Consider the following 15427-nt stretch of genomic DNA (forward strand, 5'->3'; position numbering starts at 1 on the left):
TACTAGATGGAGTGTTGTCAATTACTAAATCCCATATTTAATGTGCTGCCTGTCTACCTGGTCCTCCACCAATGACCAAACTCCATCTGTATACTTTCTTGAATTCTACCAATGCCTACTGCTTAGACATTCTCTTATTCCCTATTTTGCCCATGTGGGTCTGTTCGATGGCACATCCGAGCATTAAAACCTCATTCTTAGTGGCACACAACCCTGACAAAGAGTGCTGAGTGTCCAGAATTAGGCAAGATAATGGGATAATCACCAGGTTGGTTACCCTAAAAGAGATAATGTTCCTCTGTGTGTGTGATAAAATAAAAGGTCATGCCTATTTGCTTAGCAAAAGAGATTTTGGAAGAGGGAACCATTAGAAGTTGGGAAACAACTTGAGATACATCATTTGTGTTACATAAACCTGTTATCAAGATTGGCCCAATGTAGATTAAAATAGAAGTGCTCTTAATTGGGCTTCAGGCTAATACAGTGGGTTGGGATTAGCACACCCTCTGTAGAAGCCTCATATACCATGCTGAAATAATAGATACCAATAATGTGGCATCCCTCCATTCTAGCCCCTTCTAAAGGGACTTTTGCAGCCAAAAAGAACAGCTAGGTTAGATCTACTTCCTTTCTGGTCATTGAGGCCAGTACTGAGGAGGCTTGAGCTTTGAGGCAGTGAATTCAGTTACCCACAGTCACCTTCAGTAAACCAGTTATATGAGATGGCTTATGTGCTAAGGAGAGAGAGAGGACATGGTCCAACCAGGGATATGTTTATACAGTACCTGCTTAAGGAATATAGCTGAATTGAGTATTGCTCACAAAACTGGTACCTTCCCAAATTGTTACTCTACCTATTGAGAGCTGAACTATTTTATTTGACTACAGAAAGAAGCTTCAGAGAAGAGCAGAACAAACTTTAATGATTTCTTTCTCTGTCTTGGTTCATTCATTTAGTCAACAAATGTGTTTTAATCATTTCTATGAGCTAGGAATAAACAGCTCTGGCCTCTCCCTCAGAGAGCTTACCATTGTGTTGTAGAATTTAGGTCATGAATTTACGTGGACACAGATCTACCAAGGACTTCTCTTAATCTTTCAGCTGCCTGTATCAGATGAAAAGAACACTGTGAATACTGGATAGGCAATAGAAGTAGTCAGAAATGCCCCCTAGGGAAACCAGACCTGAAATTCACCTTCCAGTGGATAAACACAGCTTGATGTTTATGCTAAAATGCTAATCAACAAGAGGAAAGAAGAAAAATGCCCCCAGATTGAACAGAAAGTGTCTCATGGATACAATAAAGCAGACAAATTGCTTTGGTTACTGTAGGGTTATGTAAGAGGTCCTTTGTGTTCCCTCCTTATTTCTGCTAGATAAGATGAAGATTAATTGAAATACCAAGTGCTATATAAGCTAATAGTTTTATTAGCTTAAACCAGAAGTTCAGCCACCTGGAGGACTTGCTAAAACATAAATTGCTCAGCTCTGTAACCAGAGTTTAGTTTTTAGTAGCTCTGGGATGAGGCTTGAGAATTTACATGTTCCCAGGTGTTGCAGATGCTGCTGGTTCCAGGTCCACACTGTGAGAACTACTGGCGTAAGCAGACACTCTCAGCAACCTTGAAAGTGTTGCTCCACAAAGCAAATAGGCAGTACCACTAATTTTTTTTTAAGATGGAGTCTCACTATGTTGCCCAGGCTGGAGTGCAATGGCACGATCTTGGCTCACTGCAACTTCTGCCTTCCAGGTTAAAGCGATTCTCCTGCCTCAGCCTCCCCAGTACCTGGGATTACAGGCACACACCACCATGCCTGGCTAGTTTTTGTATTTTTAGTAGAGACAGGGTTTAACCATGTTGGCCAGGCTGATCTCAAACTCCTGACCTGAGGTGATCTGCTCGCCTTGGCCTCCCAAAGTGCTGGGATCACAAGTGTGAGCCACCAGGCCCGGCCTACACCACTAAATTTAAAATGTTTAAATACCTGCTGGTTTTCTCACTACAAAATAATATATATGTATACCAAAAAAAGGTTTTTAATAAAAAATAATAAACTTATTAAATGACCTATGTAAATTTAAAACCACCCAAAGATAGCCCTTAATAACCTTGCTTTGTATTTTTATAAAATGTTTCTTAGGTATGTTTGTGTATACATATATGCGTGCTATTCTCTCTAACATATGTACGTAATATTCTCTCTTTTCTCTATATATATAAATATCAAAATCACTGGAATCATCTTTTATTTTTTTGAGACAGAGTCTCATTCTGTTGACCAGGCTGGAGTGCAGTGGCGCAATCTTGGCTCACTGAAACCTCCCTCTTCTGGGTTCAAGCAATTCTTGTCCCTCAGCCTCCCAAGTACCTGAGATTACAGTCACATGCCACCATGCCTGGCTAATTTTTATACTTTTCAGTAGAGACGGGGTTTCATCATGTTGGACAGGCTGGTCTTGAGCTCCTGGCCTCAAGTGATCCACCCGCCTCAGCCTCCCAAAGTGCTGGGATTACAGGCAAGAGCCATCGCACTCAGCCTGGAATCATCTTATGTATACCATTTTATAACTTACCCTTTTCACTTAACATATACTTGTAAACATCTTTCTAAGTCAATATAGTTGTATGATACAATTTAGTACATCCTTTGAATGAACATTTAGGTTATTACACAATTCTTTCAAAGAAACTAATTCAGCATAAATATTCTTGTAAGTCCTGATTTGCATCCTTAATTATTTTCTAAAGACAAATTCCCAGAAGAAAAAAATGCCAAGTAAAAAGTTATATAGATTTTTAGGGCTCTGAATACATATTGCCTGATTAGGCTTCAAATGCTAGATCACTTTACATGCCCATCAGCACTCTATGGTTATTTTCTCACACCTTGACATAAAGGCTGAGTACATATTTGTTCATTGTTTTTCTGTGAGAGGTTTCTTTTGCCAATTTAATAGAGAGAAAATGCTCTCTTGTTTAATTTTGAATTTTTTTTTCAGTTGCCAGTGGGGTTACTAGTAGTATCACATTCAGTGATGTCATACTTCTTTTTATTGTAGCAGTGTGAATCTGAAGCTTAGAATTATGCTATCAGTTCTTGACAGAGCAGTTCTTTGGTTTGAGGCTTTACATGTTTGACATTTTTAAGGTCTAGCACATCATTTTTCTTTGATATGAACAAACAAATCTCAGAGTAGATCAGCTTTTGTTGTATTATGTAAACTTTGAGAAAGTAAATTGGCTGCAAAAACTATTTTGAATTCATCTGATGTGATATGCAGTCTCATTTCTCAGCCTATGAATAATTTGTTGTAATATAGTTGATCTAATTTTACTTAGGAAATCAACTATCCACTGTGACCAAAAGAGAAAACTGATGGAGCAATGTATCTTGTTATCTATTGATTAATATTTATTCAGTGACCATGTGATGTGAATACTAAAATGAACTTTCTTGGTGATACACTAAATTGAACTTTCTTGTTGATACACAGGGACTATTAGGTGAAAAATATGGGAATATCCGAATCCCTGGAGAAGTTGAAGCCTCAGAGTTTGAAATGATTTTGGATGCCGCCATAGAGGCAAAGCTGGAGACCAAGTTGCTGGAGGAGTGGTACTGTCGAGATGAGAACTCGGTGCCAGCAGCCTATTACCTCAGACCCAAGTCAGAAATGCTGAGAAGCAATAGAAATGCAGTAAGCTGCCTTTCCCTCAAGCCTATGGATCTGTCCATTACTACATTTGTTACCATTTATGTCATCCGGGGTGGTGCTGCACAGAAAAGGCAGAGTAGACAGAAAGTTACTCTGCCCTAGGCCCCAGGTTTTCCTTTTAACAACTAAATCCACACTGATCCTTAGGCAAACACAAATGAAACCACAATGCCATATCACTTTACACCTGTTAGGATGGCCATCAAAAAGTCAAAAGATAATAGGAGTTGGAGAGGATGCGAAGAAAAAGGAACCCTGTTACACTGTTGGTGGGACTGTACATTCGGGCAGCCTCTCTGGGAAACAGTATAGCAGTTCCTCAAAAAATTAAAAATAGAACTACCCACTTCTGGGTATATATCCAAAGGCAATAAAATCACTGTCTTGAAGAGATATCCACACTCCCAGGTTCATTGCAGAATTGTTCACAATAGCCAAGATATGGAAACAGTCTAAGTGTCTGTCAGCAAATGAAAAGATAAAGAAAATGTAGAAGGAAATTAAGGAACATTTATATACACACATACTGTGATATTATTCAGTCTTTTTAAAAGAAAGCAATCCTACCATTTACAGCAACATGGATGAACCTGGAGGACATTATGCTAAGTGAATTAAGCCAGGCCCAGAAAGACAAATACCATATGATCTCACTTACATATGGAATCTAAAAACGTTGAGTTCATGGTAACAGAGAGTAGAAGTGTATTTACAAAGGTCTGGGATTTAGAGGAAATAGAGAGATGTTGGTCAAAGGTCACAAACTTTCATGGTGTCTATAGTTAATTATAAACCTGAAATTGGCTGAGAGAGCAGATCTCAAGTGTTCTTACCACCCACCAAAACAAAGGAAATTATGTGAGGTAGTGGATTTGTTAGTTAGCTTGATTGTGGTCACCATTTCACAGTATATACATAGATCAAAACATCACATTGTGCACCTTTAAAATTTAATGAAAAAAACTAAATCCAAAGCTAAGAAACTATAAATTGTCACTCACCTTTCCATTTAGCATCTCTGACTTTCCTTCTAGGCTAATTTTCCTTCCTCCTGAAGTATACCTTTTATAAGTTCCATCAATGAAGGTTTACTAGTGATACTGATTTTTACTTATTAATATTGGTATTATTAAACAATAATTTAATGAAATAATTTATTATTAATTCTTAATATTAATTGGTTAAAGTTCCATTAATGAAGCTCCCTTTGCTTCTCTGAAAAATTATTGTTTTGCCCAGTTTTCTATAATGTGTCTATTTGTTCTGATTGGTATATGTCATGCTTACTGTATCTGTGAATTCATATAGTCTCTTAATTCTAGAAAATTCTCAGTCATCTTCTCATCAAACAATGCCTCTCTTCTGTTCCCTCTGTTCTTTCCTTGTGCTCCTTAATTACATTTGCCTTCAGCCATCTCAATCTGTCCTCTACAGCTTCTAATTCTCTTTCACATAATCAATGAAAATAGATCATTCCACATGATCAGTTAGGTTTACCCCAATATTCCCACCCAGAGAAACAATATTCATACAGATAATTACGTTGAATAATACATGTGAGGGTGAAGAAGAAAAAAAAAAAAAAAAAATCAAGAAAATTGATCACGTGAAACTGATCATAATCATATCATCATCATAATCATGATCAGTTTCACATGATCAATTCTCTTATCTCTGTGCTGCTTTCCAGAAGATAGCTTCAGATTATTTTTCCAGTTCACCAATTTTTTTCTTCAGCTGTGTTCATTCTGTCTATACATTGAGTTTTCAAGTTTGACAGTTATAGTTTTTATTTTGTGAAAGGTTCATGTGTGCATTTGTTTTCTGTGGGAGGAAGTCCTTTGTAAAATCTACCTAGCTATTATTTATAGTCTCTTTTTAAATTTTAACTTAATATTTTTTCTTTAACATCTTAAACAGTTCATTTATATTCATGCATCTTATAGAGAGTGATGGAATGAGACTGATTCATGCTTGAGCATCATGGAAACGTTATTATCTACTTTCCAACTTGGCTCCCAAGTTTATGATAGGTCCTTTAAAAGCAAATGAAAAAGGAAGAGGGGAAAGGTGGACCTGTTCATTGAGTAGAATATTTAGGGAGATTGCAAAGAAGGCATGGATATCCAACCCTCTGCCAAAGAGAATGTCCTTGATTCAGTCAGCACCCAGGCAGTTCCAAGAGCACAGCTGTGGGTTATCCGCAGTTCTCCACTTCGGGATCTGTGTATTTGTCATTCTGGTATCCAACATAACACATTTTCTCTGTGCAATGGGAAATCATATCAGAATCCTTGATTTTTCTTCTTCTCCCTCACATATATTATTCAAAGTAATTATCTATAACAATATTGCTTCTCTGGGTGAGAATATTGGGGTAAACCCAAACCATTTCCCAGTTAAAGATGCCAGGAGTAAATATAGATAGCAAAGAACCTGATACCCCAAGAAACCAGTTTCTACCATGATCTGGGGGATTTTCTCATATGTTACTATTTAATTTGCTTTAATTGTTTCTTCATTTATCTTTATGATCCACTAGGGAAATTGAGATTATTCCTAAAACCCCACATGATATTTCTGCATAAATTATTATTGAATAAATGAATGTGTGAATAAGATTATCAAGACTATATAAATGTTACTTTATTGGTAGGCAGTCCTCCCATTTTATCTCCCAGTGGACCATCAAAACAAATGAAGTTAAAACAAATAAAGACAACTAGATATAACATAAGAGCACCTCCCCTTTAACTTTCTCTCCGCTTTGGAGGACACCAGAGATTATTTTCTTATGGCATTTGTATCAAAACTCAAAAGGGAAAAGCATGGTATATAAGAAAGTCTGACAAACACACCGTATTTGGATCACACCCTTGTGTAACTTGGTCAAGTTCACATGCAACACAGAAATAATTTCTAACTTTCAGGGTTATTGAGATTAAATTAGACACTGTCTGTAAAGCACCTATCATAGTATTGGCACATAGTAGGCCTTCAAATAATAGAAATTTTCTTGTTCTTAAATATTATTTTTCTTTGATGATTGTAAGACTAATTTCTCCCTTTTACATTTCTATAGATGCAGCCTTCTACCAATGCTGAAAACGAGAAGACATGGCAAGAGATATCAGATGAGATCAAGAAGATATTTAAGGCTGCTGTAAAGCTGTTACACGAAAAGGGTAAAATGAAACACAGCCAGGCTAAGAGGTACCTGTTCTCAGGTAATTTTCCCATACCTTCAGTAAAATAAGAAATATATCATTAATAGGTACATCTACTGCTTCCCTTTAATGCCCTGCAAATTTAATCTCATTTACTGCCTGGTGAAATTTAATTTTTCTAAATGTTCCCATGTTCTGGAGAAGCAAATGTTCTTTTGTTTTAATTATAGAAAAGCCTTCCCTTAACTCTAAGGCTTCTCTAGAAAATGTGATTTTAAAAGAAGCCAGAGGTGGCCCCGGATATAATTGACCATATTCTGCCATGATTTCTCAGTTGAGCTGTTCATTCATCACTTACCCGCTTATCCAGCAAATATTAATGGATCTATTGAGTTCCTACGTGCCAAGCACTGGGGAGACAACACTGAGTAAAAACACAAGGTCTCAGGCCTCCTGCAACTTATTTTTTTAGAGGGAGGAAAAATATTCATAAAATATATATTCATAAATGATAGCCAAGTAATCAAATAAATGAACAAGATCGTATCAAAAGTGATTGATAAGTATTATGAGTAAAATAAAGCACAGTCATAGGATAATAGTGACTGATAAAGGATGTGGGGATCCAGATTTAGATGAGGTGGGCAAAAAGGAGAGGACTTTGGACCTGAATTACGGAAGAAAATCAGAACTGACAGTGCCATATGCATCTAAGGTAGAGAATTCCCAGCAGAGGGAGCAACAGATTTAAGATCTCTGAGACAGGAACGTGCTTAGCTAATTCCAGGAGCAGGAAAAATAAAAGATAGCTTTACTTTTTTTTTTTCTTTTTTTTTTTTAACTTTTACAGAGAGGGAGAGATGAGGATAGAAGTTGGGCACAGGCCATAATAGGAAGCTTGTGTTTTATTCTGGGCGAGATGGGAAGCCATCAGAGGGTGTGGCACAAGGGATTTGGTAGGATCTAATTTAGCATTAAAATAAAAACCTCTCCAGCTATTTGGTAGGCTCAAATTTAACATTAAAATAAAAACCCACCCAGTTATTCAGGTATACTTCAGTCTATACCATACCAAGCATTCTGCGTACAGAGGCTCACCTGTTGGCCTTTCTCAGCCATGGAAAGGAAGCTTTATCATTAGAAGTTGCTCAGGAAATTACAGAACTGAAGGAATATGTCAGTCATAGTTTCCAGGGAACAAACACAACTAGTAAAAGTAGTCAGATGTGTAGCATTTATTTTGAAAGTTGATAGTAAAAATTTATAAAGGGAAAAACTATAATAGCTGCGTTTTCAGATTGGTTTTGAAATGGTGCGGCAAAGCATTCGTGAAAACCTAAAAGGCACTTGGTAATCATTCTCACTGGATCCATGTGGGTGAAGCTCAGAGAAGTTACAAACCATTTTGACAAATTCCAGAAGGAAGCTGTTTTTAAAAATTAGGTCTTATTTAAAGTCTTCCTGAAAATACCACAATCGTCAGGAATAAGTACTGTATTTAAATATATAGATCAGGGTATATCCTTGTTCCTTTGGAACCTTTAGATCCACCTTTGAGGCTCAGGCTCTTCACCTTTATCAAAGACAGAACAACCCTGTTCCTTCAAGAGCTGTCTTAGAAAAAAGTACCTGGAGTGAAGCTTTCCTATTATTTATGTAAAAAACACCAGTCTGGGGAAGTCATCCTCTTATTTACAATCGCACAGCTCCAGTGTTTGGTTATTTCCCTGGCAAACACTTGTCCTAGCTTTCCCCACACAGTGAAGAACTGTGTCCACATAGATAGCCATGTGAAGATGAGAAATTTCATGTGAGCCACTACAAGTGGAGTGTTTTCTGCTTGGGGTTATATCTCCTGAAGATATACATGCTCATGACAATTTTACTTATTTTACGTTCAAACTCCTTTTAAGATCATGTCTGCACAATCAAAATTGCTGACGTGCCAACTCTTTCAAATGGATATAGTATATATTATATTTTTAGAAATCTTGAAATAAGAATACTGGATAGAACCTGTTAAAGGTGTATTGTTTATGTTTGAATGTAATTTTTCACACTTCTAGTTTCACCTTTTTAAACAACAGGAGAGGACGAGAAATAAATTAGACTCTAAAATGGTGCCCTTCTGAGAACATCAAAACTCAGTGGCCTTGGGAATCGTAAAGAAATTAATTTCTCATGGATAATAGTTACCAGGACTGGAAACCTATTTCCACCATTACCTTCAGTGGATGCTCTCACTGGTTAAATTTCAGGACATTAAGGAACATGCAAAAACAGAAAATAAATATAATATTCTAATAATGCCCTAAAATTCTAAAATTTATAATATTTATAGATAGGCATCAGAAACTGTGAATAAAATTCCCATAAAATCATAAGCATGCACTTCGCCTCTAAAAATAACTCTGTAGAGTTGCCTTTGTATCATAGCTCTCATTTATTTAGGTATATTTAAGTCTATACCATACCAGGCATTCTGTGTACAGCATTTATCCCCCCTGAGCCAAGCTTAGATGGGCTCTGCCAAATTAGTTTATCTGTATTTCTTTTTTTGCTCCATTTGTGATCAACACTTCTGCTTGATACATCCTTTTCATAAATGTGATAACAATGTCAAGTTATAGTTGAATTGCTTTCTGGGAGTCAAAGGTGGCAGAGCATATCTCTGATTATAATGCATTATATATAGATACTACAGTTTGACCGCTTCCTTTCTCTTCATGATGCTCTCAGAATGTAGCAAGCTGTTAATCCAACCTGCTAGCATTTTACACAGATGACTAGAAAAGAGATGGGTCCAAGGCTGCTTTCTGTAGTAGCTCATGATGTCCAGATTTCTGGCATCTTCCCTTATCTACATTATAACAAGTTCTTACTCTTCCTTAAAAAGAATAGTAGACATATGTTTATAAGCTCCTTTAACTGGCTTCCTTAACCAGCTTGCTCAATTAAAACCATTTGTAAAATGTACTGATGCTCATGACACAGCTTACTAGGCACTGGTAGCTATGAAAATATCTTTTTCATTTAGGTTGAAAATTTCCATTGAAAGGCTCTCATTACTGAAAAAATATTATCACAAGAGTTCCACCGAAAGGAACCATTTTTAAATAAAATTCTCACCCTTCTTAATAGTTACATTACAGAATATATGTATATATATTCTAGATTTTGCTTGACATTGGAGTTATGACCAGCATGTAATTTTTTTCAATTTATGGCCAGACCAGCCCTGTGTATTCAGAGCCTCCCTGACAGAAATTCACAATCTGAGATCAAAGCACCTGCAGATTCTGTGGCTGATGAGGGCCAACTTCCCGCTCACAGATGGCTGTCTTCTTGCTGTGTCCTCACAGGGCAGGAGGGCAAGGGAACTCTCTGAGATCTCTTTTATATGAACACGACTTTCATTCATAAAGGCTCTGCCCTCATGAACTAATTACCCAAACGCCCCACCTCCTAACACTATCACACTGAAACCTAATCAGGTTTCAACATATAAATTTCTGGGAGACACAAACATTCAGTTTATAGGGCTCCATAATGGATTATTTTTCTCAATGTTCTGTTTTCTCTCACCATTGTATCCTAAGCGGCTGTCATCGTGCCTGGAATATAAAAGGTGTTCAATGAAGAGCAATTACATGAAGGAAAGGGATGGTGAAGGAGGAAGAAAGGAAGAGCAGCCAATTTTAAGAATACTTGCTTTGTCATTCATTTCCATTAGCTTATTTTACATATTTTTAATTTTTCCCTGCACAATGATGTTTTCATTACTACTGACCCAGTTTAAAATTTTCTTATGGGGACACAAATTATTTATAATATATATGTACTTGTGTGCAAGCATATGTATTGTAAGCCATAATACGGTATATGTTAGAAGAAATGAAGTTATATACTAAGTCACTTTTTCTGTACTTGTTCTGATGGATATTATAACAGTGACATAGATCACCCAGATTGATCAGTCATCAGAATATAATTATATTTTGCCTTAAAATGTGCTTTTGGGCTGGGCGTGGTGGCTCACACCTGTAATCCCAGCACTTTGGGAGGCTGAGGCAGGTGGATCACAAGGTCAGGAGAAAGAGACCATCCTGGCTAACACGGTGAAACCCCATCTCTACTAAAAATACAAAAAATTAGCCGGGCATGGTGGCGGGTGCCTGTAGTCCCAGCTACTTGGGAGGCTGAGGCAGGAGAATGGTGTGAACCCAGGAGGCGGAGCTTGCAGTGAGCCGAGATTGCGCCACTGCACTCCAGCCTGGGCGACAGAGCGAGACTCCGTCTAAACAAAAAAAAAAAAAGAAAAAAAAATTTGCTTTTATATTGATATTTGATCATATCTGACTAGGACTCAATATACCTCAAACAAAATGGTGAGGTCACTTTGTTAAGGAAAGACTGACAAGAAACGGTTAACTAGTTACATCCTTCAGCCTCCTCCTCTTTCTTTCCTGGCCCAGATGGGTCCCTGCTGTTCCCTCTTAGAACCTCTGAAGTCTGAGAGGAAAACTGAGCAGCAATTAGAAATAGTAGATATTAGAAATATCCACTATAACTTTGATATGCTTTCTTTATTATGCTTATGTCCAACCTCTTCCTAAACTTGGGGAGAAAATTAGATAATTTTATGTAAAACCTGTTCTCCCGGGTTGCTGGCTGATTAGGAAAAGACAAATAGGAAATCAAGAAATTATTCTAAAGATTACTTCGCTACAAACCATAAGCAAAATAATTTACCACTAATGACTAAGTGTTGACTATTGAGAATGTGGGTGTGTTGCTCCTTTGTTCTAAGCAATAAACTCCTTCTTATATTTTCTTTCAGCTATAGAGGATGAGTTTGACTTTGCTCTGGGAAAACAAACTCCAGCATTTCTAAAGAAGTGTGTTTGCTACATTAGGAAAATTGCTAACATTGAGCGCTTTGTGAAAATCCCAGAGATGGGAAAATACATGGATATAACTGGAACAGAACCGAGGATTATTCGGGACCCAGAAGCCCAAGAGAAGCTGATAAAACTCAGGGATGAATTTATTCCTACTATTGTTGCATCATCTAATCTGAGAGTGTACACATCTGTTACTCATTGTGACATGAAACTAGGCTACTCCCAAGAAATAGAAAATCATTACATCGAAGGACTTGGTAAACAATTTTATGAGGACATGATTGATATAATTCAGGCAACGATACAACAGAATTTTGACACTGAAACTGATACACTCTATGATGAAATCCTTCAACATTCATCATTATGTAAAACATACGCCTCCTTCTATGAGTACAAATGTGAATCTCTAAACATAGTGCATAACTACATTCTTCCAAGCAAAGCTGGACACATCAACCCTCTTATTATATATGGTGGGCCATGCACTGGGAAGACCCTTCTGCTAGCTGAAGTAGCAAAGAAGGTAAAAGCCTATTCTTTCCCGTGTATATTTGTAAAAACTTGTACTTTTGGAAAATGGTAAATTAATCAAATTCATTTCTACTTTCTGAGTTTACTATGTGAATTATAGTTGGTCTTTTAGGAGTGAATACTGCAGTGCTTCTTTTTTGCTGGTATAACAGTTATATTGAGAGAGCAAAACTCATGGGGTACAACTGGAAAGCAAGTTTATTTTTTTCTTTCACTGTTCAGACTCATGTTGTGGGCTAGTTCCCATCCCTCACCCCATTTGGATGAAAACCCAGGCCAATCTCAATAACTGTTCTCATTCCTTTCAGACAAGGACAAGCCCTCTGGTCACTCCAGTCTGCTAAATCAGTCTCCGTTCAGTAATGAGTATGTCCAGGCTAAGGTAAAAATGAAAATATCAGTCTACACCTTTCTTCCCCATCTGGGGCCTCTCATAAACAAGGCACCTACAGTGGGAAATGGGGATCTTCTTTCTTTTTCCACGTGGCACTTCTTTCTCTCCTTTCCTAATCCCAATGACATTTATGATTCCTATAAAGTCACAGTTTAGGGGATATGGGAAAGGTAAGGTGGCCAGAAAGTTATTACGTAACCAGTGCTGTTCTGAACTGGACTGTGAACTCTCTGTTCTTAGCACATGTTTAAAGCTGCCTCCCATCTCTTTGGAGGCCTTTTCATGGCTTCCTGGAGGTCCTTCCCCTCCCGTACCTCTGCCCTATCTTCCCTGAGCATCTCTTACCTACAGTTGCCTAGACACAGGGGAATGCATCTTTTTTCTAGCTGGTTACTTCCTCAGCTCCTAGACATCCAGCAATGTGCTTCCAGTACCTTTCTGCTAAGATCCTGTCTACATCCCAGCACACTCCTTAGACAGGACCTGCGAAAAGCAAACAGAAACCCTTGTCAGCTCACTGTAGCCTGCCGTCCACATGTAGCACATGGGAAACACTCAGGTATTGTTTTGCCCTGAGGAACTCTAGACCTCTGGGCCAGTCCCAGCCCTGTAGCTCTGTCTCACTTCTCCATCACAGCAGCTAGGCAGCCTCAGTCACTCAGCCTTCATGGTTTCCAGATGTCACTAGGTACCAGATGCCTGTATCCCCAAGCTGTAGGGGGCATTCTATAGGTGGTCCACTAAAGTCCCTTCCTCTTGGCTGGAAGTCAAGGACAGGCATCTCTCTGACCTCCTTCTAGGGAGGGGGAGGTGAGAGAAACAACCCGCAGCACCCTGATCCCCACCATTTTTCCCTGCCTCTCCAGTCTTCTTTTTCAGACTAGCAGCGGGTAATCTGTTAACAGTAGCAAAACTGGTTTTCAGAACCTCCCTTTCAAGTCCTGCATGATGGTCTGGAACCTCACTTTGGAATGTGGTATCTGCTGAGTTGGCTCTTCAGCCTAAACAGGATGAAACTAGTTCCATTATTTTTAACCTCCTCTTCCCTTAGTGTCAAAGTGTGGTGGTTTATTTTATTATGGTGTTAATTCTGAAGCTCTGTGTTATTCTTCCCATGGTGACTCTCTTAAGAACAGGACTTTCTTTAAGTTCACGAATATTCTCATAACCTGTCATGTGCTACATAATCTCAAATTGGTCCTCTTGAAGACAAGAACAGAGACAGTTGCATTACACTGTATGTGAGGATTAGGTTCCAAAGTAAGCCCATAGGTGAAATCAGGTATATTCCATTTACCTTTGAAAAGTCCATAGGAAGTCTAATTTGCTTTTTCTTAATCTATCAAGCCCAGCTGGGTTTTCTGCTTATGTTAGAAGATATAGCTTTTTCTTTAATTAAGCACCAGATGAAGTAGCAGGCTTGTATTTAGGGTCCACATTGCATTGCATAAATTGTGTATGCATATGTTTATGTGCCTTTGAACAGGAATTTGTATGTGTATCTTCAAACTTTAGAATTATTCCAAGTAAGCAAGATAGTAACACCATGAGGGGCACCTGAGAACTGAAACCAAATGAGTAAACATTCACATATGCCATTTTGTAATCACCCTAGGGCCCTTTTCCTTGTGGAGGAAAGGAGCATACAGGCCGCTGGAGGAAACAAATATCGTTCAATTTGACTAAGTCAAAGGTTCATGTGATGCACCTCCACATGCTCTAGCACAAGAGGTCAAGACTTATGTGGGATGTGCTGATTCCCTGCACAGATAAGCAGTCCCAGTGAGGCAGAGTGTGGTAACTGTTCAGAGTTGGTCAGTTTAAGGAACAGCTTTCTGAGCTCTTGCTCTTCTAGATATTTTGTCCAATAGCCTGAGTCTGTCTATTGACTATCCAGGAGTCGGGTCCTCCAAGAAACTGTGCCTCTTTTTAGGTCCTCTGCCTGCGCTTCACTTACCTTTCTCCTGGGGAATGTCTGACTCACCGTCAACAACAACCTGTACCGTCCTGTGACCTCATGTCCCTTTGAGGATGCAGATAGATATCTCATTTTTATCTCATGTGTCACCCAGCATTTCCATGACCATGAGCTCGTGATGGTAGGGCTGCTCTCTACAGACATCACATGTTCAGCAACATGTGACTGGGAGGACGGAGGAGGATGCCTGTAGTTATCATAAGCAATCAATGTAGAAACAAACCGGTGTTTTCAGATTTACCACCAAAGGATAGTTGTTGAATGACAAGATTATCTTCCTTGAAATCAGCTTCAAAGGTTGAGGCTAAACAACAGCAACGAAATGTTTATTTTCCTTAACAGCTCCTTATAAAACTGACCTCCATAAATCTTTCTAATTTTATTCATGCCTTAACCTGAACTATCTCTCCTGAGGAAGCAAAGTTCACAAACTTACCTCCTAATGTGTAAAATCACTCTTCCTTATCTCAGGCATATCCTTGGTAAATTCCAAGGATAACTGAAAGACTTTATTTTCCTAAAAATACTCATTGGAGTATTTTATGCCTTGGGCATATTTCTTCTTATATTGACCTTTCAAAACAGAAAGACTAAACTTAGTGGGCTCCTCACATATTTTATCCTTTAACACCACAGAGTATTTAAGAAATGAAAGAATGAAAAGTCAGGTATGACTTCTACTCCAGCTTTGTCTCTTGGTGACCATTTAACTCTGAGCAGTCATTTATCCA

At 38.2% G+C, this 15427-nt stretch overlaps 1 protein-coding gene across 1 annotated transcript in view, besides 2 other annotated features; it reads left to right on the plus strand.

The window, feature by feature from the left end:
* Positions 1-15427, plus strand: part of NWD2 (NACHT and WD repeat domain containing 2) — a 204721-nt gene that overhangs the window by 182332 nt on the left and 6962 nt on the right. The window contains exons 4-6 of the mRNA NM_001144990.2: positions 3498-3701; positions 6802-6946; positions 11727-12316. Coding sequence (NP_001138462.1) covers positions 3498-3701; positions 6802-6946; positions 11727-12316 — 939 coding nt within the window. The remainder of the gene's footprint in view (positions 1-3497; positions 3702-6801; positions 6947-11726; positions 12317-15427) is intronic.
* Positions 4313-4607: an enhancer, noted in NCBI's record as "tiled region #2247; HepG2 Activating DNase matched - State 5:Enh". NCBI's record gives its function as "activates a minimal TATA promoter and a strong SV40 promoter by Sharpr-MPRA in HepG2 cells {active_cell/tissue: HepG2}" and the evidence as "EXISTENCE:reporter gene assay evidence [ECO:0000049][PMID:27701403]".
* Positions 14099-15298: an enhancer, noted in NCBI's record as "BRD4-independent group 4 enhancer chr4:37442795-37443994 (GRCh37/hg19 assembly coordinates)". NCBI's record gives its function as "activates an origin of replication core promoter dependent on BRD2, P300/CBP, MED14 and CDK7 cofactors, and independent of BRD4, by STARR-seq in HCT116 cells {active_cell/tissue: HCT116}" and the evidence as "EXISTENCE:reporter gene assay evidence [ECO:0000049][PMID:35650434]".

This window comes from Homo sapiens, chromosome 4, assembly GCF_000001405.40.
Source record: "Homo sapiens chromosome 4, GRCh38.p14 Primary Assembly".
Lineage (NCBI taxonomy): Eukaryota > Metazoa > Chordata > Mammalia > Primates > Hominidae > Homo > Homo sapiens.